This window comes from Homo sapiens, chromosome 18, assembly GCF_000001405.40.
Source record: "Homo sapiens chromosome 18, GRCh38.p14 Primary Assembly".
In the NCBI taxonomy this organism is placed as follows: Eukaryota; Metazoa; Chordata; class Mammalia; order Primates; family Hominidae; genus Homo; species Homo sapiens.
The window spans coordinates 23588188-23611000 of NC_000018.10; the positions used below are offsets into that span (position 1 = coordinate 23588188).

General features: G+C 43.3%; 1 protein-coding gene across 7 annotated transcripts in view; it reads right to left on the reverse strand.

Annotated features, from left to right (window-relative positions):
* ANKRD29 (ankyrin repeat domain 29) overlaps window positions 10739-22813 on the reverse strand; it is a 63986-nt gene continuing 51911 nt past the window's right edge. For all 7 annotated transcript variants that reach the window (XM_017025561.2, XM_011525830.3, NM_001308238.2 and 4 more), the window contains one exon: window positions 10739-13122. In XM_017025561.2, the coding sequence (XP_016881050.1) occupies window positions 13039-13122 (84 nt within the window). In that variant the 3' untranslated portion in view covers window positions 10739-13038. The remainder of the gene's footprint in view (window positions 13123-22813) is intronic.

Sequence of the window (22813 nt, forward strand, 5' to 3'; positions counted from 1 at the left end):
TATCGTTTTCTGAGCTCCAGTAGTTGAGATCCGGAGACTTTTTTGTTGAAAGAATATTCAATACCATCTTCATAAGGACTATTCAGTGTTGACCTCAGAGCAATAAGTAGAAAATGGGGGGAAATGAAATTATTAGATGTGCATCTTTATAAATGTGCAGAAATACCTTCCAGAAAACTTCTATGTAGTGGAAAGCATACATATGTGAATATAATATACAAACGTTTTAAACAAGTGGGGATGTACAGTACACAGTTCTCATCTGGCTTCTTTGCTTTTAGCAGTATGCTTTCCTACCTCACTCCTTTTAATAGCTGTAAAGGATTTTATTATGCGTATGTAACACTTCTGAAGCCATACTCAGAGCAGTGTCTAAATCAATGAAATATAAATCACCAGCCAACAAGTATTTCAAAATAACTCAATTCCTCTACTTGCATTCCTGGTACATATGAAGGGTTTGTGTGGTCCTGGCAATACATTATAAATTTATCTTTCCTTTTCCTTTTTTCTTTTTTGAGACAGAGTCTTGCTCTGTCTCCCAGGCTGGAGTGCAGTGACATGATCTCAGCTCACTGCAACCTCCACATCCCCGGCTCCAAAGATTCTCATGCCTCAGCTTCCCGAGTAGCTGGGATTACAGGTGTGCGCTACCACGCCCAGCTAATTTTTTTTTGGATTTCATTAGAGATGGGGTTTCACCATGTTGGCCTGGCTGGTCTTTAACTCTTGGCCTCCAGCAATCCACCAGCCTCAGACTCCTGAAGCGCTGGGATTACAGGCGTGAGCCACTGCTCCCAGCCCGCTTTTCTTTTCGGTATGCTTTGTCACATTCCTGAGCTTGCCTGGAGACCACAAAGCCTGGCATCTTTCTGTGCCCTCTGCTTTCCCAATCATGCTGCATCACCAAAGTCTAAACACTTTTGAACATTTCCCTTGTAGAGGGAGAGGAGAAAGTTGACCCAAGACTAAATTATCTGTAGCTGGCAGATGGTAGGGGAAGGCTAGAAATACTTACGTTAATAATTTTTGATCCACTATGTAACTTATTTAATCAGTCTCTTCTTGGGCATTTAGCTTGTCACTTGTTACTGGAAATGATGCAATGAACATCCTTGTATCTTTTAAAAATGTTTTTTTCTGGGACAGAGTCTCACTCTGTTGCCAAGTCTGGCGTGCAGTGGCATGATCATGGCTCGCTGCAGCCTCTACCTCCTGGGCTCAAGCGATCCTCCCACCTGTGCACCACCACTCCTGGCTAATTTTTGTATTTTTTGTAGAGACGGGGTTTCACCATGTTGCCCAGATTGGTCTTGAACTGCTGGGCTCAAGCAATCTGCCTGCCTCAGCCTCCTAAAGTGCTGGGATTACAGGCGTGAGCCACCACTCCTGGCCCATTCTTGGATGTAAATCTTTGCAATCATGCGCAAATAGAACTGTTGGAAATACTTTTATATTGTTGGATCAAAGGAAATGGGTATTTAAGTTTTGATTGTTGTCAAATTGCCCTCCAAAGAAATTGCAGCCAGCAATGTATGGAAGTACCTAAATGCAATCTGTGATTTTATTTATTTTGTTTCTTATTTTAAAAAATATTGGGGCTGGGCACGGTGGCTCACGCCTATTATTTCAGCAGTTTGGGAAGCCGGGGCAGGTGGATCACCTGAGGTCAGGAGTTCGAGACCAGCCTGGCCAACATGCTGAAACTCCGTCTCAATTAAAAATACAAAAATTGGCCAGGCGCGGTGGTTCATGCCTGCAATTCCAGCACTCTGGGAGCCGAGGCAAGTGGATCACCTGAGGTCAGGAGTTCAAGACCAGCCTGGCCAACATGGTGAAACTCCATCTCTACTAAAAATACAAAAAATTAGCCAGGCATGGTGGTGGATGCCTGTAATTCCAGCTACTCAGGAGGCTGAGGCAGGAGAATCTCTTGAACCTGGGAGGCGGAGGTTGCAGGGAGCTGAGATTGCGCCATTGCACTGCAGTCTGGGCAACAAGAAATTAGGCTGGGCGTGATGGCTCACACCTGTAATCTCAGCACTTTGGGAGGCTGAGGTGGGTGGATCATGAGGTCAGGAGATCGAGACCATCCTAGCCAACATAGTGAAACCCCGTCTCTACTAAAAATACAAAAATTAGCCGGGGGTGGTGGTGCATGCCTGTAATCCCAGCTAGTCGGGAGGCTGAGGTGAGATAATCACTTGAACCAGGGAGTTGGAGGTTGCAGTGAGCCGAGGTCGCCCCACCGCACTGCAGCCTGGCTACAGAGCGAGACTCCGTCTCAAAAAAAAAAAAAAAAATTAGCTGGGCGTGGTGGCACACACCTGTAATCCTAGCTACTCAAGAGGCTGAGGCAGGAGAATTGTTTGAACCCAGGAGGTGGAGGTTTCAGTGGCCGAGATCACGCCATTGCACTCCAGCCTGGGCGACAGAGCAAGACTCCGTCTCAAAAAAAAAAATAAATAAAATAAAATTAGGATGCTTTGATTTGTATTTCTTTAATTATAAGTGAGATTAAAAATCTTTTCACACATTTATAAGTAATTTTATTTATTTTTCTGTGCTTTTTTCTTTTTTCTTTTGAGACAGAGTCTCACTGTGTCACCCAGGTTGTAGTCTAGTGGCATGATCACAGCTCACTGCAGCCTTGACCTCCCTGGCTAAAGTGATCCTCCTGCCTCAGCCTCCAAAGTGCTGGATAATAGGTATGAACCACCATGCCAAGCCAATAAAATTTTATTACCAAAAAAACCTTTGATTTCTTCTAAAATTTTTTTAAAAAGCTTTTTAAAAAATTTTTTTCTGCTGCTGATCTGCAACCTTCAAAGTAGGTAGTCCTTCAAATAGGCAGAGAAAAAAAGAATGCCTACTTACCTAACAAATTGCAAGCTTGCCTAGTTCCTAACCTGAAGCCTAAAGTTCAATAACAGAAAATGAAGATAGAACTAGGGTTTTGGGGTAATAGAATGTAATCAATGTCATTTAGTGACGTCTGAGGCCATTGCACAAAATACCAAAGACTGGTGTGACTTAAACAATAGGAATTTATCTGTTACAGTTCTAGAGGTTAGAGAGTTCAAGATCAGCATGGGGAGCTTATTTGGTTCCTGGTGAGGGCTCTCTTCCTGGCTTGTAGACAGCACCTTCTCCCTGTGTCCCCAGATGGTGTTTCCTTAAGTGTGTGCTTTCAGGGAGAAAGATTTCTCTCTCTCTTCCTCTTCTTCAACAATCCTATTGAATTAAGGCCCCTCCCTTATGACTTTATTTAACCTTAATTACCTCCTAAAAGCCTTATCTTCAAATACAGTCACCTTGGGGGGTTAGGGCTTCAACACAAGACATTTGGGGGAGCACAATTCAGTCCCTAGCACCTTTCCTTTTACTCAGGGCTGCATTATGACTTGTGTGGGCCCCAGGCACCTTTGCCTTTAAGGACCCCTTTTTCCTTCAAAAAAAAAAATTTAAAATGAGAGTTTCCAATTGCATTATAAAGACACATATAACGCTGGCTGAATTCATTATTATATGCTCATTATTACAGTATTCTTATTTTTGTTCTGATTTCAAAAGAAATTAAAATTAAAACATTTTCATGGGACAGTAAAATTATCACTGTGTCTACTGTGCCTAATAAGTTGATCTGGTTTTCGCAGCCAGCATCGTAGAACTATTCCCTATAGTAGTCATGGACATTGTAAATTTTTTGATCGCCTTCCCCAAAAAACCTCCAGGACCAGCAGTGGAGCTGGCTCTAAAAGAAGCGCCTATAGAGAGTGGGAGGCTGTCCAGCTGAACACAGGGAACAGCTCACACCTCCCTTCCTCCAGCAGGCTACGAATTGCCAACACATTTTGGTGAAATATAGGAGAGCTTTAGTTAATGCTTCTGCCAACCCCCTAAGGAGGTTCAGGTTGAGCATTTTTGAGAACTCTTTTTGTTAATAGACTTTTCCTTTTAATTAAGATATAATATTCATATATGAGGTATACAGAACTTAGCTGTACAGCTTGATGAGTTTTCTACTTTTTTTTTTTGAGACTGAGTCTCACTGTGTCACCCAGGCTAGAGTGCAGTGGTGTGATCTTGGCTCACTGTAAACTCTGCCTCCTGGGTTCAAGTGATTCTTGTGCTTCAGCATCCCAAGTAGCTGGGATCATAGGCACACTCCACCATGCCTGGCTAATTTGTGTATTTTTAGTAAAGACGGGGTTTCGCCATGTTGCCCAGGGTGGTCTCAAACTCCTGGACTCAAGTGATCCACCTGCCTTGGCCTCCCAAAGATCTGGGATTACAGGCATGAGCCACTGCGCCCAGCCAAGTTTCTTTTATGTGTTAAACACTTTTATTAGTTGTCTATTACTGAATAACAAATTACTCCAAAACTTAGTATATTAAATGAACAAACATTTATTTTATCCCAGTTTCTGCCAGTCAGGGATTTGGGTGGTTCTAGGTGGTTCTGGCTCAGGGTCTCTCCTGAGGTTATGGCCAAGAAGTTGGCCCAGGCTACCATCATCTGAAGGCTTGACTGGGGCTGGAGGATCTGCTGTTGAAGATGCTGTGGGAAGCTGGGCTCGGTGGCTCACACCTGTAATCCCAGCACTTTGGGAGGCCAAGGTGGGCGGATCACTTGAGGTCAGGAGTTCGAGACCAGCCTGGCCAACATGGTGAAACCCTGTCTCCACTAAAAATACAAAAATTAGCCGGGCATGGTTGCACATGTCTGTAATCTCAACTACTCGGGAGGCTGAGGCAGGTGAATTGCTTGAACCCAGGAGGCCGAGGTTCCAGTGAGCTGAGATCATGCCACTGCACTCCTGCCTGGGTGACTGAGCAAGACTCTGTCTCAAAAAAAAAAAAAAAAAAGATGCTGTGGGAAGGAGGCCTCAGTTCCTCCTCTCCATAGGCTGCTGAGTGTCCTCAGGACTTGGCAGCTGGCTTCCTCCAGAAGGAGTGATCCAAAAGGGATTGAGAGCAAGGCAGAGCCATAATGTCTGTTATGAGTTAGCCTCAAATGTTATATGCCATCACTTCTGCCATGTAATACTGGGCACACAGACCAGTCCTGATGCAGTGTAGGAAGGGGACCAGACAAGGACAAGAGGAGGGGAGCACTGGGGCCATCTTGGAGGCTGGCAACCACAACATCCATGTAGCCAACACCCAGAGGAAGGATATGGAAACTTTAGCACTTCAGAAGCCTCCTTTATGCCCCTTTCCCAGTCGATATCATCACCCCTCCTTTAACCGGGAGGCAACCACTCTTCTGATTTCTCTCACTGTAAGTTGGTTTTGCCTGTCCTTGAACTTCATGTAAAGGGAATCATACTCCTCTGCGTCTGGTTTCTTTCACTGAACATTATGTGTGTGGCTCATCCACATTACTTGTGGTGGTAGCATCTTTTAAAAGAATTGCTGTGTAGTATTCCATGGCTCAAACATATCATGGCAGACATCTGGGTTGTTTCTTCTTCCAGTTTGGGCTGTTACAAATAAAGGTGCTGTGAGCACTGTTGTACAGGTCATGTGTTCAGTATACACACTCAATTACTTTGGGTTCTGTGATAGACTTTTTAAACTCTTTACTTACGCAAGCCAAATTTTATAGACATCTTCATTTAAAATAGCTTACAGCTACAACTCATGACTTTAGTACCAATGGTTATGACCTACTCGGAAATGGGCATTGTTGCTCAGAATTCTGGTAAAATGTTACTCATCCTAGTAAGGAAGGATGTTTGAGTTGGTGATTAATCCAGTCATGGGTTGTGGTGTAACTTCCACTCAGTTAGGATGCTACCAGAGTTGGAATGACTTGTGGTTTAGCAGTCAGGGTTTCAAACTGGCATTGCCTTCCCTGCAGGATTTGCTCACAGGACATAGTTTCCTTTGCCAGGGGTGGTTTTTGATCAAATGTTTCCTAAAATGGAGAGTCCAACTCCTGTAAACTGAAGACTTTCTAAGACTATTCTTAAAACTTGAAATGTAGGAATAACAACAGCATTTCACTCATTAAAGCTCGGAGGATTCAATCCTAGTGAGGGAGGGAAGAAGAACCAAAGATAGCGGAAGGAATTTTTTCTGTTGACAGAGATAAGGCTGACATGTCACCTAAGAACTGAAGATCTTTAATTAACTTCCTTTATGTTATTTTTATTTTACTTTATTTTATTTTTACTTTTTGAGATGGAGTCACACTCTGTCGCCCAGGCTGGAGTTCAGTGGTGCGATCTTGGCTCACTGCAACCTCCGCCTCCTGGGTTCAAGTGATTTTCCTGCCTCAGCCTCCTGAGTAGCTGGGATTATGGGCGCCCACCACCACACCTGGCTAATTTATTAAGTTTTAGTAGGGACAGGGTTTCGGCATGTTGGCCAGGCTGGTCTCGACCTCCTGGCCTCAAGTGATCTGCCCGCCTTGGCCTCCCAAAGTGCTGGGATTATAGATGTGAGCCACTGTGCCTAGCTGAATTCCTTTGTTGAAACATAACCTCATTCATATTAATAAATTAATTTTTTTTTTGAGAGAGAGGGAATTGCTCTATTACCCAGGCTGGAGTGCAGTAGTGAGATCACAGCTCGACCTCCCAAGGCTCAAGTGATCCTCCTACCTTAGCCTCCTGAGTAGCTGGGACTTCTGGCACACACCACCATGCCAGGCTAATTTTTTGTATTTTTTGTACAGACGGAGTCTCACTTTGTTGCCCAGGCTAGTCTCAAACTCTTGGGCTCAAGTGCTTTTCCCACCCCAGCCTCCCAAAGTGCTGGGATTAGAAGCATGAGCCACCATGCCTAGCCTCACTCATATTTTAAAATTACCTGAAAGTATTGCTAAAAATAAGGATTAGGTCACCAGGAAAAGAATCGAAGACTTTCCAGACCCAGTGATACATAGGTTATTTAACTGAGGGCTAAGTATAGTCAGAGGGCCCAGAGAAAACACCTCTGTGTGACTAGTTTACCCTCCATGTGTTCATTACATTAAGCAGAAGAATAATTATTTTCACATTTCTCGACTAGAATGTCTAATGCTAGTTTTGCCTGTCATTTTTTGTTTTTGTTTTTCTCCATGCTTTGAAGTACAAATACTAGGGTCTGAGCTGCTATGGCTCAATGGCATGAAATATCATAACATGGTGTGGCTTTGTTCACAGCCAGGCATGTTCTAAGCACTTTAGCATCTTTTCACAGTGAGATGAAGTTCACCAATTTGGCTGGGCAAGGTGGCTCATGCCTGTAATCCTAGCACTTTGAGAGGCCAAGGCAGGCAGATCGCTTGAGTCCAAGATTTGGAGGCCAGCCTGGGCAACATGGCGAAACTCCAGCTTTACCAAAATACGAAAGTTAGCCAGGCATGGTGGTGCGTGCCTGTAGTCCCAGCTACTTGGTAGGCTGAGGAAGGAGGATCGTTCGAACCCAGGATGCAGAGGTTGCAGTGAGTTGAGATCGTGCCATTACACTCCATCTTGGGTGACAGACCAGGACCCTGTCTCAAAAAAAAAAAAAATCACCAATTAAAACCAATCAACCAGCATAGGTATAGATCCGCAACCATAAATTATCTCATTTGACCAGGCCTGTTTGCATTGCACCACGCCTATTTGCATCTCTATAGGGTGGTACCAAGTCTGTTTTTTTCATGTTGCCTTAGTCTTAGTACAGAGCAGAGGCAATGCACACTGATAGTTGGCCGGTGATTCCTAGAAAGCATCAGGAGTATCTTCACAAATACAATTCTATCCAGTGAGGAGTAGAATCATTTCAAGGGAATAATTTTATTTAATTTAACGTTAGCTCCAGGTCCACTCACCAATCCTTATCCATAATCTCCATTACAAGGCCAGAATTCTTTTTTTTTTCTTTTTTTTTTTAGATGGAGTCTCACTCTGTAGCCCAGGCTGGAGTGCAGTGGCACGATCTCGGCCCACTGCAACCTCTGCCTCCCGGGTTCAAGCGATTCTCCTGCCTCAGCCTCCCGAGTAGCTGGGATTACAGGTACCTGCCCCTGTGCCCGGCTAATTTTTGTAGTTTTAGTAGAGATGGGGTTTCAACATCTTGACCAGGCTGGTCTTGGAACTCCTGACCTCGTGATCCACCCTCCTCGGCCTCCCAAACTGCTGGGATTACAGGCAAGAGCCACCACGCCCAGCCACAAGGCCAGAATTCTTTGATGACTGAACAAGCTCATCAAAGACAGAGTGGTGGAGCAAAAGCAGCCTCGAGTTTCCCAGCCTTTGTGTCATATGGCCACACTTCTTCACGTGGTTCGCTGCCTGCTCTCCTCTCCTGGAGACCTTCTCCTTCCTCATTATGTTTCACTTCCTGCTCTTGTTCATTGTTTCATTCTCTTTGCTGAGTTCCCTTCTTTCAAAGTTTATTCTCAGTTTGCCATCTGTTTAAAAAAAAATGTATTAAATTTAGAGGCAGGGCCTTGCTATGTTGCCCAGGCTGGTCTTCAATTCCTGGGCTCAAGTAATCCTCCCGCCTCAGCCTCCCTTCAGACAGTAGCCACTATGCCCAGCCATTTTGCCATCTCTTTTATTCTCAGCAGATTCTCCGTGGGGACCTCATTCATCCCATGACTTTGACCATCACCTCTATGCAGATGATGCCTACACTAGTAACAACAGCCTTGTCCTAAACATTAATTTGTTATTTCCAACTGCCTTCTAGAATCTATTTCACAGATCCTTCCAAGTGAACATGTCCAAACTCTATCTCCTCACCCCAAATCTGCTATTCTTCCCTATTGCCTAACAAAGTTATTGGCTCATCCACCTTGTAAACTTTGTGGGCCAAGAAGAATTAACAAAGCCAGCCCAAGACTGCCTATCCTTAGGAAGTCCTGCTTACAAGGTTGGCCCTCAGCTGACAAACAGTTCCCTACACTGATATCAAACTTGCCCTAAATGATAAGAAGTATTCACTTTGCCTTAACTGTTTGTGCAAACAATGTGGTTTATACTGAATGCCTGTTTTCCTTCTGGAGGTCTTGATTTTTGGTAAATGCTAGGCAGAAGGGATCTATGTGACCAGCTCCCGGTTGAAACCCTGAGCACTAAGTCTTCAATGAGTTTCCTTGGTAGACAACACTTGCTGCCACAACTCGGTTGCTGGAGGAATTAAGCTCATTCTGTGGGAGAGGTTTCTCAGAAGCTTGCACCTGCTGTCTTCTATCTTTGCTCTATTTTCCTTTTGTCTTTGCTGATTTTGCTATGTGTCTTTTTGCTGTAATCTTAACCATGTATTTGAGTATACATGTATATGTAACCATGTATATGAGTATATTTATGAGTAAACTAGATATATGAGTCCTATGTCTTCCTAGCAAGTCACTACACCTGGGGATGATCTTGGGAATGCCTAACACACTTTAGCACAATTCTTAGCTCTCCTTTCTTTTCTTCATCCTCTATATTTAATTGTCACCAATTATCATTAACTCTACCTGCAAGTATTTTCAAAAACATGTCCCATATTCTCCACCTTCACTGCTCTGATGCTACAATTGTGACTCCATCTGGGCACCACTGCCTCCTCCACCTTCCCCCAGAAAGCAAAAGTAAAATTCCCAAGATTGGAGGACAGCACCAAGACACCACTACAAGGTAGACTGTCTTTCAAAGCCAGTTACCTCAACTGTAAGATGGGGATGGTAATAGTGTTTATTTCATAGGGTTGTTGTCAGGTGTAAATGAAAAAAATGCGTAACACTTTATAAGATTATCTATCTAAAGTGCTTAGCACGTAACAATCCTTTAACAAATTTTAGTTGCTGCTTTTATTTTTATTGATTTACTTATTTTGAGACAGGGTCTCACTCTATCACCCAGGCTGGAGTGTACCATTGCAGCCTCAACCTCCTGGACTCAAGCCATCCTCCCACCTCAGTCTCCCAAGTAGCTGGGACTGCAGGTGTGAACCACCACCATGTCCGGCTAATTTTTTTATTTTTAGAGAGATGGGCGTCTCACTATGTTGCCTAGGCTGGTCTTGATCTCCTGAACTCAAGTGATCCACCTCGCCTTGGCCTCCGAAAGTGCTGGGTTTACAGGCGTGAGCCACCGGGACTCCTCACCTGGCCACTACCTCTGAAACATCCAGTTCTAGCACCAAAAGCACTTTGTTAGGAAATTAGGAACTCAGCTTCTCACCCCTATAATCTGTAGCCCCCCACCAAAATACAGGCATCTCTGCCTGGTTCTAAGTAGCCTGGTATTTGGGGGCACTCTTTTCCTCTGAGTAGGTGTCTCAGTGTGGGATTTATGAAGAGACGTAGCTTTCTTGTGGCGGCAGAGGGTGGATGGAGCAGATGGAAGCCAGGATGTTCCTGTAAATCTCCATATTCCTGATGTTACTGCTGCAAATTATTGTCTCCTACACCAACAGTTCTGCAAAACCACCAGCTACTTCACAAGAGAAAGTTATTGCAAAGGACTAAAGGGCCAGGAGCATCATAAATAATACAAATCAGAAAATTTTCTATTTTCAGCATCTTAAATAACTGTCCCAAGAATTCTTTTCTGAATGAAAACTTTTTGGAATCATTTCATTCTCTACAGCAGAGATAATGAAATCATAGGTCCATTACTAAAATAAAGTTTAAATATCTATTTAGGGTCCCAAATATCAATATATTTACAGAGTTGAATTATTCACCCTAAAATTCCATGCTACTAAAAATCACATAGCAATAACTCTTGATTAAAAACAAAAAGAAAAAAGCAGCAAAGGCAAATGGGGTAGTATATTAACTTTATTTTGAATTATTATATAACATGGAATATGTCATCAAAGAATGAATTAATGAAAAACGTTTGTAGTTCAGTTAAGCAGATGATTTGCATAGGAATTGCTAGTTTTAAGTCTTAGGATGCGGAGCTAACTGAATTGTCAATTAGATTAACATAGAATAATCATTTACATGTGTGCAAACTAAAATGCAATTTTGAAAATAACACACCTTTCCGTACAGTCTTTGGTAGGTGATGATTCATTTTCCCTGCTATGGGTAATCTCATCTAGATCAAATGTGATCCTTCTAAGCTAGACACCTCTTCCCTACAGTAAGAAGGCCTCCATATTGTTCAAGCTACTGGCTTCAATTTTATGGCTCTAATATTGTTCAAGAACATTACCCACTTAAAACTATTGATGTAATAGGCCAATTACATGTTTTAGTGAAAAACAGTAAGTTTGTGATTCATCCCATTTTGGCTTTTGGAACTTTGTTATCAGTACCCATAACGTTTTGCTTTGTATCAGTGATTAGCAACTATTTTTGCCATAAGGGCTAACTAAGGGGAAAATACAAAGCATTTAATGCCATATTATTTTCCTCTTCAAAATGAATATAGCTTTTTGAAATTCGCACAGGAGAAAATGTATATTTGTACAAATTTGCTGAATAAAAGAATGTCAATGAGGAAATGGCATTGATTTTAGCCACCAAAATGTTTATATCTGGATGTTTTAGCAACAGAGAGCTTTCTAATATTTTATCCTAGAATCAGGTTGCAGGCTTTTTGTATAGCTGGTCAGGCTGTAGGCACCTGTGGGGCCTGTGAGTTGCTCATTTGCTTGAGACATTTATCAAAATATGCTGATTTTTGTTGCATTAATTGTTATAAATTTTAAGAGAATATCTTCTAATTTTGAAGATTATATTCTATTATTTACTGAATTAAAGATAATCCTTTTAGTAACTCTGAAAGTTGGTTAAACAAAAATTCTTTTGGGATTACAACATTTTCCTCTAAAAGTGTCTTTACATAGACACTGACTGAAAACCAGAGCAGAACATGAAGAAATAAGCTAAAGATGTGTTTAAATAGCAGAAATACCATTGCGTTTATTTTGGTAGATTACAGAAAGAAGGTTTTATTTTTGTATGTGCAGTTAGGCACTGACTGAGGCATTTAGACACCATTAATTATAAAGTGCATTGAATATAAGTTTTGATCCCTTTCAAAGGAATAATTCAATAAACCTCATATTTCATTCTTGGAATCAGTCAACTCAAAAACATGCATAGATGAAGACTTACTAAGTGCTAATAACAGTCTTTTATTATTTATATTCCTGCAATAGTAATAGCAACATACTGTACTTGCATATATCACATTTTATCCAAGGACCTCAAAGTCATTCTATCAAGCAGCACGGTGTTGGAAACTCAAGATTCCACAGCATGTTAGGTATACTTACTTATAGAATAGGAAATAGATTCCCAACAATAGAGCCAAAATAAAAGACCAAAGAGACAAGCCTATATATTTCTCGTGGTTTATAAGTTTCTGAATTTCCAAATTTGCCACTGGTATTTTAACCTACCTACAATGTTGACTCTACGTAAAATTGATTTTTACATGTCAGGAATAAGATGAGGATCAACGAACAAATGCACAGTCTGTCTTTTCTATAGTTCAATAGTCCATCTTTGAATAGCACATAATGGAATGTCAGAAGTGGTTTTTTAATAATGTATGTTTACACTTCATTGATTTATAACAATCATGGCTATGGTTCTTGGGTAGAGGAGAATGTTTTATACTGGAATGACATACATATGTAGGTAAAATATGATAGATCTATATATTTTAGCACATCTACATTTAACACAAAAGCAAAAGTGCCTCAATCCATTGAAGGTCAGCTTTTCAGTCTTTTAAAGGAACAAAGCATTCTGTCTCCTTGCTTAGTACTGAGAACCCTGTCCACCTTAGAGTTTAACTGACAGGTCCAAGTTAGCATTGTTGAAAATGAGTTTCTGTGGAATCTGTGAACATGCCAGGCCCCCCGGGAGATGAGTTACAGGACACCATGAGAAGTCCATGGTGAAGGGGCAAGAGGGTCCCTGAGCTGTTTGGTTCTTGACTTCGTGCACAGAGCGTAGCTCTTCTTTGTCAGGGACCCACAGGATGGGCATTCTGGGCATCTTTTTTTTTCATAAAAGAATTTCCAACACTGCTTGAAATGCAATTTCTTTTTGGACAATGTGGTTAAGCTTTCTATCTTTCTGTCAAATATGGAGCTAAGTTAGCTCTTTCTGGGACCTTCTTTACTTCTCAGGAGACGCAATATACGTTCATTTTTGGTTAGTTCTGCCGGAAGTTCATTGGCCTGAAAGAAGAGAAGATGGGCATTAGTGAATCCCCATAGCTGGTGTGGTTTTAGGGACTCCAAAGAGGGGCATTTGACCCACTCTTTCTCCTTCACTAATGAAAAAAATCCACACTGGACTCACTCTTTTATATAAAGGTATTACAAATCTTCTTTAAATGTATAAATATTACTTGTTATATCCTTATCTCATTCTTAGAGACATTTTCCAGCCAGATCCCTTACTAGACTGTAATCTCTTAGGGGGAAGGGTCCAGATCTAATTAATCATTGTATCCTTATCTCCAGCACAATGCCCAGCATGTCTAAAATGTGCTCAATAAGTACCGGTCAAATTAAATGTTATACCTTATATGTATTTTATTATTATTATTTTTTGAGACAGGGTCTTGCTCTGTCACCCAGGCTGGAGTGCAGTGTTGCAATCATGGCTCACTGCAGCGTTGACCTCCCCAGCTCAAATGATCCTCCCACCTCAGCCTCCCGAGTAGCTGGGACCACAGATGTGCACCACTATGCTCGGCTAATTTCCAGAGATGGGGTTTGCCATGTTGCCCCAGCTGGTCTTGAACTCCTCGGTTTAAGTGATCCTTCTGCCTCAGCTTCCAAAGTGTTGGGATTACAGGCATCAGCCACCGTGCCCAGCCTACCTTATATTTATTAATGTATGACATGAGGTAGTCTGCCCACTAAGGACTTGGGACTGAGTCAGGACTCAGCACAGGTGTCTTTTTTTTTGTTTTTTGAGATGGAGTCTCACTTTGTCACCCAGGCTGGAGTGCAGTGGTGTGACCTCGGCTCACTGCAATCTCTGCCTCCTGGGTTCAAGCAATTCTCCTGCCTCAGCCTCCCGAGTGGCTGGGACTACAGGCATGTGCCACCATGCTCGGCTGAATTTTGTATTTTTAGTAGAGATGGGGTTTCGCCATTTAGCCAGGCTGGTCTTGAACTCCTGACCTCAAGTGATCCGCCCGCCTCCGCCTCCCAAGGTGCTGGGATTACAGGTGTGAGCCACCGCGCCCGGGCCAGATATCTTTTGATGAGAAGGCAGAGATAGGAAACCTCCAGAGCATAAGAGACACCCGGGAAAGAAGAGCATTGGTGGCTAACACCTTCCACCTTACTCAGTATCACTCGAAGGCCTTTCTTTTCACATTGCTGCTGAGATACATCCATTAGGCATCTAGTGAACCAGTCCCTACCATTGACAACAGGTGTGATGTGGAAGTGGCTCTCAAACCTGTTGGTTTCAGGACCCTTTATACTCTCAAAAATTACTGAAGAGTCTAACAAATTTTGTTTTTAACTTATTAAAAATGAAAGCTGAGGGCTATGCGCAGTGGCTCACACCTGTAATGCTAGCACTTTGAGAGGCTGAGGTGAGAGGACCACTTGAGCTCAGGAGTTGGAGACCAGCCTGGGCAACATAGTGAAACCTCATCTCTATTATTTAGAAAGAAAATATTTTCAAAAAGAAAAAAAAAAGAAATTAAAACTGAGAAAATTTTAAAAATATATTTATTAATTCACTAAAAATAATAAATCCAAGTTAATATAGTTATGAAAAATTAAATTTTCAAAAACAAGTAAAAATTCTCAGAAGAGTAGCACTGCTCAACAGCTTTACATATTTCTTTCATGTGTAGCTTAACAGAATACAATTGGATTCTCATATCTCCATCTGTATCCTGTCTATTGTGATATGCTGTTTTGGTAGAAGGATATAAAGAAAATTAAGCTTCACACAGATATGTAGCTGGAAAAGGAAGGAGTATTTTAACAGTCTTTTTGGATTGCTGTGGATATTATTCTCTGATGCCACATCAATACTCAACAAATGGTAGTTTCTTAAAGGTTAAATGCAATGTGGGATTTGAAACCATACCAATGAACTTTAAAACCCACAGGTTTATCTATTTATAGTTGGATCTTTTACCTATGCATGGTTTGTAACATGCACTGCTCATTTGGAAAATATCAGTTCACTGAGTTTGTAGAATGTTGGCACATTTCATTGTGCAATATCAAAAACTCACATTCTGGCTGGGCGTGGTGGCTCACGCCTGTAATCCCAGCACTTTGGGAGGCCAAGGCAAGTGGATCACCTGAGGTCACAAGTTTAAGACCAGCCTGGCCAATATGGCAAAAACCTGTCTCCACTAAAAATACAAAAATTAGCTGGGCGTGGTGGCACATGCCTGTAATCCCAGCTACTCAGGAGGCTGAGGCAGGAGAATCCCTTGAACCTGGGAGGCGGAGGTTGCAGTGAGCTGAGATCACGCCACTGCACTCCAGCCTGAGTGATAGTGAGAGAGACTCCATCTCACAAACAAACAAACAAAAAAACTGATCCATCAGAAAAGCCTTTAAGTTTTGGGAAGCTGTTAAGGTCATAGTGGTAGATACCTTGTTCTTTCAAGTAAAAATAGTGATCTATGAAAAAAGTGGCAGGTTCACTTTGCAATTCAAACAACTGCACAGGGACTGTGGAGGCTAATGCAACTCCATCTTGGATGCTAATCTGCCATGTTTACTTCTTTTTTTTTTTTTTAAGACGGAGTCTCACTCTGTTGCCCAGGCTGGAGTGCAGTGGTGCCATCTCGGCTCACTGCAACCTCTACCTCCCGAGTTCAAGTGATTCTCCTGCCTCAGCCTCCCCAGTAGCTGGGATTATAGGTGCACACCACCATGCCCAGCTAATTTTTGTATTTTAGTAGAGATGAGGTTTCATCGTGTTGGCCAGGCTGGTCTCGAACTCCTGACCTCAAGTGATGCGCCTGCCTCGGCCTCCCAAACTGCTGGGATTACAGGTGTGAGCCACCGCACTCAGGCTGCCATGTGATTAACCCTAGTTTTGGGAATGCCTCTAAGATTCCTATTTTATCTACTTTTTTGTGTTTCCTACTGAAAATCCTGACCATAGGTCAAAACGACCTTGCCCATAAGTCCTGCCCTTAGGCAGTCACGTAGTGTTCTTGCCTTTCCCTGAGAGGTTGACTTCACTTGTCCTGTATATTCCTTCCCTTAGGCCCTGGGTCTGGGGGGTGGTGTCCTGAGACTATGACTCCTGTCCCTGTTACTTTCTGAGAAACTGGATATGTCAGCCTGTTTTTATTTTTTTCTTCTTTTCTGCTGAGATCATCTGGATGTCAGCTTCTTTCTTGGCTTCTCAGCTTCTTCAGACTTTTGGGGGCAGTTTTGCCTGCTCACCGCCCAACAGGTGCTTTTTTTTTTCCTTTTGAGATGGAGTCTCAATCTGTTGCCATGCTGGACTGCAGTGGCGCAATCTCAGCTCACTGCAACCTCCGCCTCCCCGGTTCAAGCGATTCTCCTGCCTCAGCCTCCCGAGTAGCTGGGACTACAGGAACGTGCCACCACACCTGGCTAATTTTTGTATTTGTAGTAGAGATGGGGTTTCACCATGTTGGCCAGGATGGTCTCGATTTCTTGACCTCATGATCCACCTGCCTCAGCCTCCCAAAGTGCTGGAATTACAGGCGTGAGCCACCGTTCCTGGCCAGGTGCTTTTTCTTGAGATAATCATCATACTTCAGTACACAGCAGAAGTGCTGTAGGCATGTTTTCCATTTCATCACACAGAATTTTATTTTATTTTATTTATTTATTTTGAAACAGAGTCTTATTCTGTCGCCCAGGCTGGAGTGCAATGGCACAATCTCTGCTCACTACAGCCTCTGTCTCCCGGGTTCAAGTGATTCTCCTGCTTCAGCCTCCTGAGTAGTTGGGATTACAGGCGCCCACCACTGTGCCTGGCTAATTTTTATATTTTTAGTAGAGATGGGGTTTCGCCATGTTGGACAGGCTGCTTTTGAACTCCTGACCTCAGGTGATCCACTCGCCTTAACCTCCCAAAGTGCTGGGATTACAGGTGTTAGCCACCATGCCCGGCCCAGAATTCTGTTTTATTTATTTATTTTTTTAGACAGATGGTCTCACTGTGTCACCCAGGCTGGCATGCAGTGGTGCAATCATAGCTCATGACAGCCTCAAACTCTCTGGGCTCAAGCTGGGACTACAGGTGTGTGCCACTATCCCTGGCTTATTTTTTTTCTGGAGAGATAGGGTCTTGCTATGTTGCCCAGGCTGGTCTTAAACTCCTGGCCTCAAGCAGTCTTCCCACCTAGGCCTCCTGAAGTGCTGAGATTATAGGTGTTGGCCACTTTGCCCCGCCATCACACAGAATTTTATTATTATTATTATTGTCATTATTTTTTGAGACAGAGTCTCGCTCCGTCACCCAGGCTGGAGTGCAGTGGTGAGGTCTCGGCTCACTGCAACCTCCGCCTCCCGGGTTCAAGCAATTCTCCTGCCTCAACCCCCTGAGTAGCTGGGATTACAGGCATGCGCGACCATGCCTGGCTAATTTTTGTATTTTTAGTAGAGACGGGGTTTCACCATGTTGGCCAGGCTAGTCTCGAACTCCTGACCTCACATGATCCACCTGCCTCGGCCTCCCAAAGTGCTGAGATTACAGGCATGAGCCACCGCACCCAGCCAATTACACAAAATTTTAAAAAGATGTATAGGAAGAGCCAAAATTTAATAAAATTGACATATTTTTACTGCTTCATCAGAGACATTCTTAAGTACAACTGGTATTTTTGTAGAGTAATTTACAAAATTTGTAAAATAATTTACAAAGGCTTGTAAAATATTTTGCCAGTACAGTTTAGTGTTCCTGCTTTGAGGTGTACTAAGGCCCCAACAGTTTCACCCACCATTGCTTTTGCTTTTGTACCATTAGAGCAAATGTCAGCACAGTGAAAAAGGCAGATAAGATCTTGTTTGCTTTTATAGGGGACAGGTTTTCTCTCTGTTGCTAAGGCTGGAGTGCAGTGGCACAATCATGTAGCTCACTGCAGCCTTGAACTCCTGGGTTCAAGTGATCTTTCCACCTCAGCCACCCTAGTAGTTAGGACTACAGGCACACACCACCATGCCCAGCTATGTTTTTTGTTTTTTAATTTCTTAAAGAGATGAGGTCTTGCTGTATGGCCCATGCTGGTCTTGAACTTTTGGCTTCAAGCGATCCTGCTGCCTCAACCTTCCATACTGCTGGGATTACAGGCATGAACTACCTCAACTGGCTAACATCTTTTTATTATCAAGAATATGGTTTTGAATTCTTTTTTAAAATTGTAAATAGATTTTTATTTCTTTTGTAGAGAGGGGGTCTTGCTATATTGCCCAGGTTGGTCTTGAACTTCCAGGCTCAAGTGATCCTCCCACCTCTGCCTCCCAAAGTGCTGGGATTACAGGCATGAGCCACTACACCCAACCTTGTTTTGACTTCTTAGACCCCCTGTATGGGTCATGAAGATCTTCAGGGGTCCAAGGATCCCACTTTGAGAAATGTTTGTATAGAGGAATCAGAAGGACTTTCTTGTGGCCAGGCATGGTGGCTCATGCCTATAGTTCAGCTACTCAGGAGGCTGAGGCAGGAGTATCACTTAAGCACAGGAGTTCAAGGTTACAGTTAGCTATGATGGCAACACTGCACTCCAGCCTGGGTGACAGAGACTCTGTCTCTAAAAAGAAAGAAGGATGTTCTGGGAATTTCAGGGGAGGCCATTAAAGGGTAAAGCGGCAGGCAGTATCGGGGATGGAGGCTTGGTTGTAGATGTTACCTGTCTCACCATATTTTCTTCTCCAGCAGCCAAGCCTGGAACCCCAGTTGCTTTATCTGGAAACTTGATCCTAGGTGAAACTTCTGCAGTCCCCATCTTCTAGCTGGATCCTGCCCCCTGACCTCTATCTGCTGGCTGGAACCTCACTTGTTAGGAATTGTAAGTTTGTCACAAGTGGTCTGCTGTGCAGCATGTCCTGTGGCTGCACCCCTTCTCACCACATGGGACCCTGGATGCCGATGCTGGATTCAATCACAGAGGAAATTATTATGCTATGCTACTACAGACCAGAGGCTCCTCTATGGGGTCAAGTTCTGTTAGCTTAGTTCCTGCAGGAACAGATATTGTACAGGCCTAACACCTGGGCCTGCAGAGAAATGCTCCTGGTAAACAGACCTAAGCTTCATCCAGTCTCAGAGCAAACACTCAGGAATAACTGAGCTGTCTACATCAGTGGCTGGTCCATGGTAAGCAGACTGGCAGGTAGTTAGAGGAACCTCTACAGTCAAGGAGAAGGGAGCTTAAGAAGCTCTACCTCTGTCTACCAGCCTGCCAGCGTGTTGCCTTGTGTGACCATCTCCATGAATGTCCATATCCTCTGCTATTAAAAAAAGCTTTATACTTTCAAATCATGTTGTCAAGTTTTGGTCATTCACATCACCATTCTGTCTTCCATGCTGTTCTAAAATCCTGGTTTAATTGCTCTTCCCTCCCCGTTAGTCCCCACTAGATTCTCAGGTTGCTGAGATTGTACAGATTGATGTGATGGCGAGTGCCCCAGGCTAGCCCCTAAAGGCTATCTCGTTCATTATGGAGCAGGAGCATAGGCCCATATTCATGATACTACAGTATTAAACCACTAAATCTCCCCACTGCTCCTGGGAGAAGATGTGCTCAGTCAAGGGTGTTGGGAACATAAGACCCCTGCACCCAGGGGTATGGCTACAGTCTGAGGAATGGCTATAGTGTGAGGAATGGCTGTTGGGGCCACTGGTTGGCCTTCTCCTCAGGCATCTGTCTCGAAGCCCCAGAGCAGAAGTCTTGGAACTCCTGGAGCAGAAGAGTGTTCTGTACTAGCTGAGAAGTCACTTTCTCCTGGAAGCCTCCAAACCATTCTTTACTCCCCTGCTTACAGCTGTCACTCCATATTGCAATTGCTTTAATTGTCTTTATTCCCCACTAAACTCTGAGCTTCATGAAAGCAGCAACTGTGAATCTTATTCACTATGGCATTCCCAGCACATAGCACAGTGCATGGTATCTAGTGTTTGTTGAATGAAAGAATGAAAGCCAAGAATGCTCCTTCTGCAGGAATCCCAACACCCTTGCCTATGGAGCTGCTATTAGCAAGACTGGCTTCTATGGAGTGGCTGGTAGGAAGCTGGGGACTTCCCTGGCGGCTCCTCCCAGGTGTCTGAGGGCTTCTGCAGTATGAAGGTCCAACAGGAGTGCCCACACATGTTTTCAAGTCATTTTTAAGGGAGGGTCCAAAGTCTAGCATTCTGCCCACTGGAAAATACTTATAACCATTATTGCTGGTGATTATTCCATTATTCTAGGAGATGCACAAGGAATTGCATTTTTCAGTTTCTATATACAGGTACTAATATTTCCTCCCTGTGAAACCGCCTTTGCAAAATTATAACTGAGGAAATTAAGACAGTGAAAGAAATCAGACCTAACCAACTCCATCTTGCTTCTAACCTTTAAGCTGTGCTTGTTCATTGCTGGGCATAGGTCAGACTAACTTTGGGAAGGAATTCAGCTCATGGTTTGACTCTGAAACAAAATTGATAACAGCCCTTTCCCGAAAAGACCCCCTTCTTGCCTGGGGACCAGTCTGCCTTTGTAGGACTAACAAATTAGCTACAAGATTAGAAATTACAATTTAGGGCCGGGCGCGGTGGCTCACGCCTGTAATCCCAGCACTTTGGGAAACCCTGTTTCTCAAAGTGAAAGTTGGTGAAACCCTGTTTCTACTAAAAGTACAAAAAATTAGCCTGGCATGCCCCTGTAATCCCAGCTACTCGGAAGGCTGAGGCAGGAGAATCGTTTGAACCTGGGAGGCGGAGGTTGCAGTGAGCTGAGATCGCACCATTGCACTCCAGCTTGGGCAACAAGAGAGAAATTCTGTTTCAAAAAAAAAAAAATTCAATTTAGGGGTCATGCAGCTTCTGGCTCGAAGAGTTTGAACTGCCCCGATTTGCTCCGGGGGTAACATCACTATTGTAAGACCTAAGATTAGTGCTTGAAATATTTTGCAGACCTTGCACTTGATGGATCAGCGACACCACCCAGACCAGTAATCTGGCCCAATCAGTTCTGCCATCGCACCTAGAAACAGAAAACATTAAGAAAACCTAACTTTGACCCCCTATGATTCCATCTCCAATCTGACCAATCAGCACTCCCTACTTCCCAAGCCCCTATCCGCCAAATTATCTTTAAAAACTCTGATCCCCAAATGCTCGGAGATACTGATTTGAGTAATAATAAAACTCCTATCTCCCGCACAGCTGGCTCTGCGTGAATTACTCTTTCTCCACTGCAAGTCCCCTGTCCTGATACATCGGTTCTGTCTAGGCAGCAGGCAAGGTGAACCCATTGGGCGGTTACACTTGCTTGGATTCAGGAGGGTCCAAAGTCCAGCATTTTGCCCACTTGAAATTACTCATAACCATTATTGTTGGTAGTTATTCCATTATTCTAGGAGACACACAAGGAATTGCATTTTTCAGTTCCTATGTAAAGGTATTAATGTTTCCTCCTTGCCTTAATTCAGGACTGGATAGCTCACCAACAAAGACTGGTCTCTTTAGGAAGTCTGTGCACAAGGTCTAAAGATAAGATCTAAAGAAAGGCAATTGTGATTTCAACTGGCTTATCACACAGCCAGGCCAGCTAATGGAAAACAAATCCAAGTATCTAAGGAGAGATAAGCAGAAATGTTATAGACAAGCAATTCAATGGGAATGGGGAAGTAATACTTCTACATGCTGAGTCAAATGAAAAAAGTGACCCCTGGCATGTTGTTTAACTGGCACTTCTTAAGGTTTCTTTTCAAAATGTCATGAAATGTTATATGTTTTTGTTTTTATTATTAAAAAAAAATTTAACACAGTAAGATATGCTTAGAAAAATTCAGAGTATGTTAAGTATAAAGTAAAAGTTGCTTTTCATATCCTCCTCTATTCGTAAACACCAATACCACTTTCTCCTCCAAAAGTTTGTAGTTTATGGCTGGGCGCAGTGGCTCACGCCTGTAATCCCAGCACTTTGGGAGGCCGAGGGGGGCGGATCACAAGGTCAAGAGATGGAGACCATCCTGGTCAACGTGGCAAAACCCTGTCTCTACTAAAAATACAAAAAAATTAGCTGGGCATGATGGTGCACACCTGTAGTTCCAGCTATTGGGCAGGCTGAGGCAGGAGAATTGCTTGAACCTGGGAGGTGGAGGTTGCAGTGAGCTGAGATCGTGCCACTGCACTCCAGCCTGTCAACAGAGTGAGACTCTGTCTCAAAAACAACAATAGCAACAGAAAAGTTTGTAGTTTAGGCCAGGTGTGGTGGCTTATGCCTATAATACCAGCACTTTGGTAGGCCAAGGTGGGAGGATTGCTTGAGACCAGGAGTTCAAGACCAGCCTGGGCAACACAGCAAGAACACATCTCTATAAAAAGAAAAAAATTTACATTTAAATAAATAATAAATAAGTAAATAAAGGTTGTAGTTTAGTGCATTTTCTCTCTACTCCGTCGTTCAGGGTGGATTGCAGTGGCGTGACCATGGCTCACTGCACCCTTGACCTCCTTGGCTGGGTTCAGGTAATCCTCCCACCTCAGCCTCCTCAGTAGTTGGGACTACAGGTGCACACCACCACACCTGGCTAATTTTTGTATTTTTTGTGGAGACAGGCTTCGCCATGTTGCCCAGGCTGGTCTTGAACTCCTGGGCTCAAGCAATCTACCTGCCTCAGCCTCCCAAAGTGCTGGGTTTACAGGAGTGGGCCTTTGCGCCTGGCGCATGCATTCTCTCAAGACCTT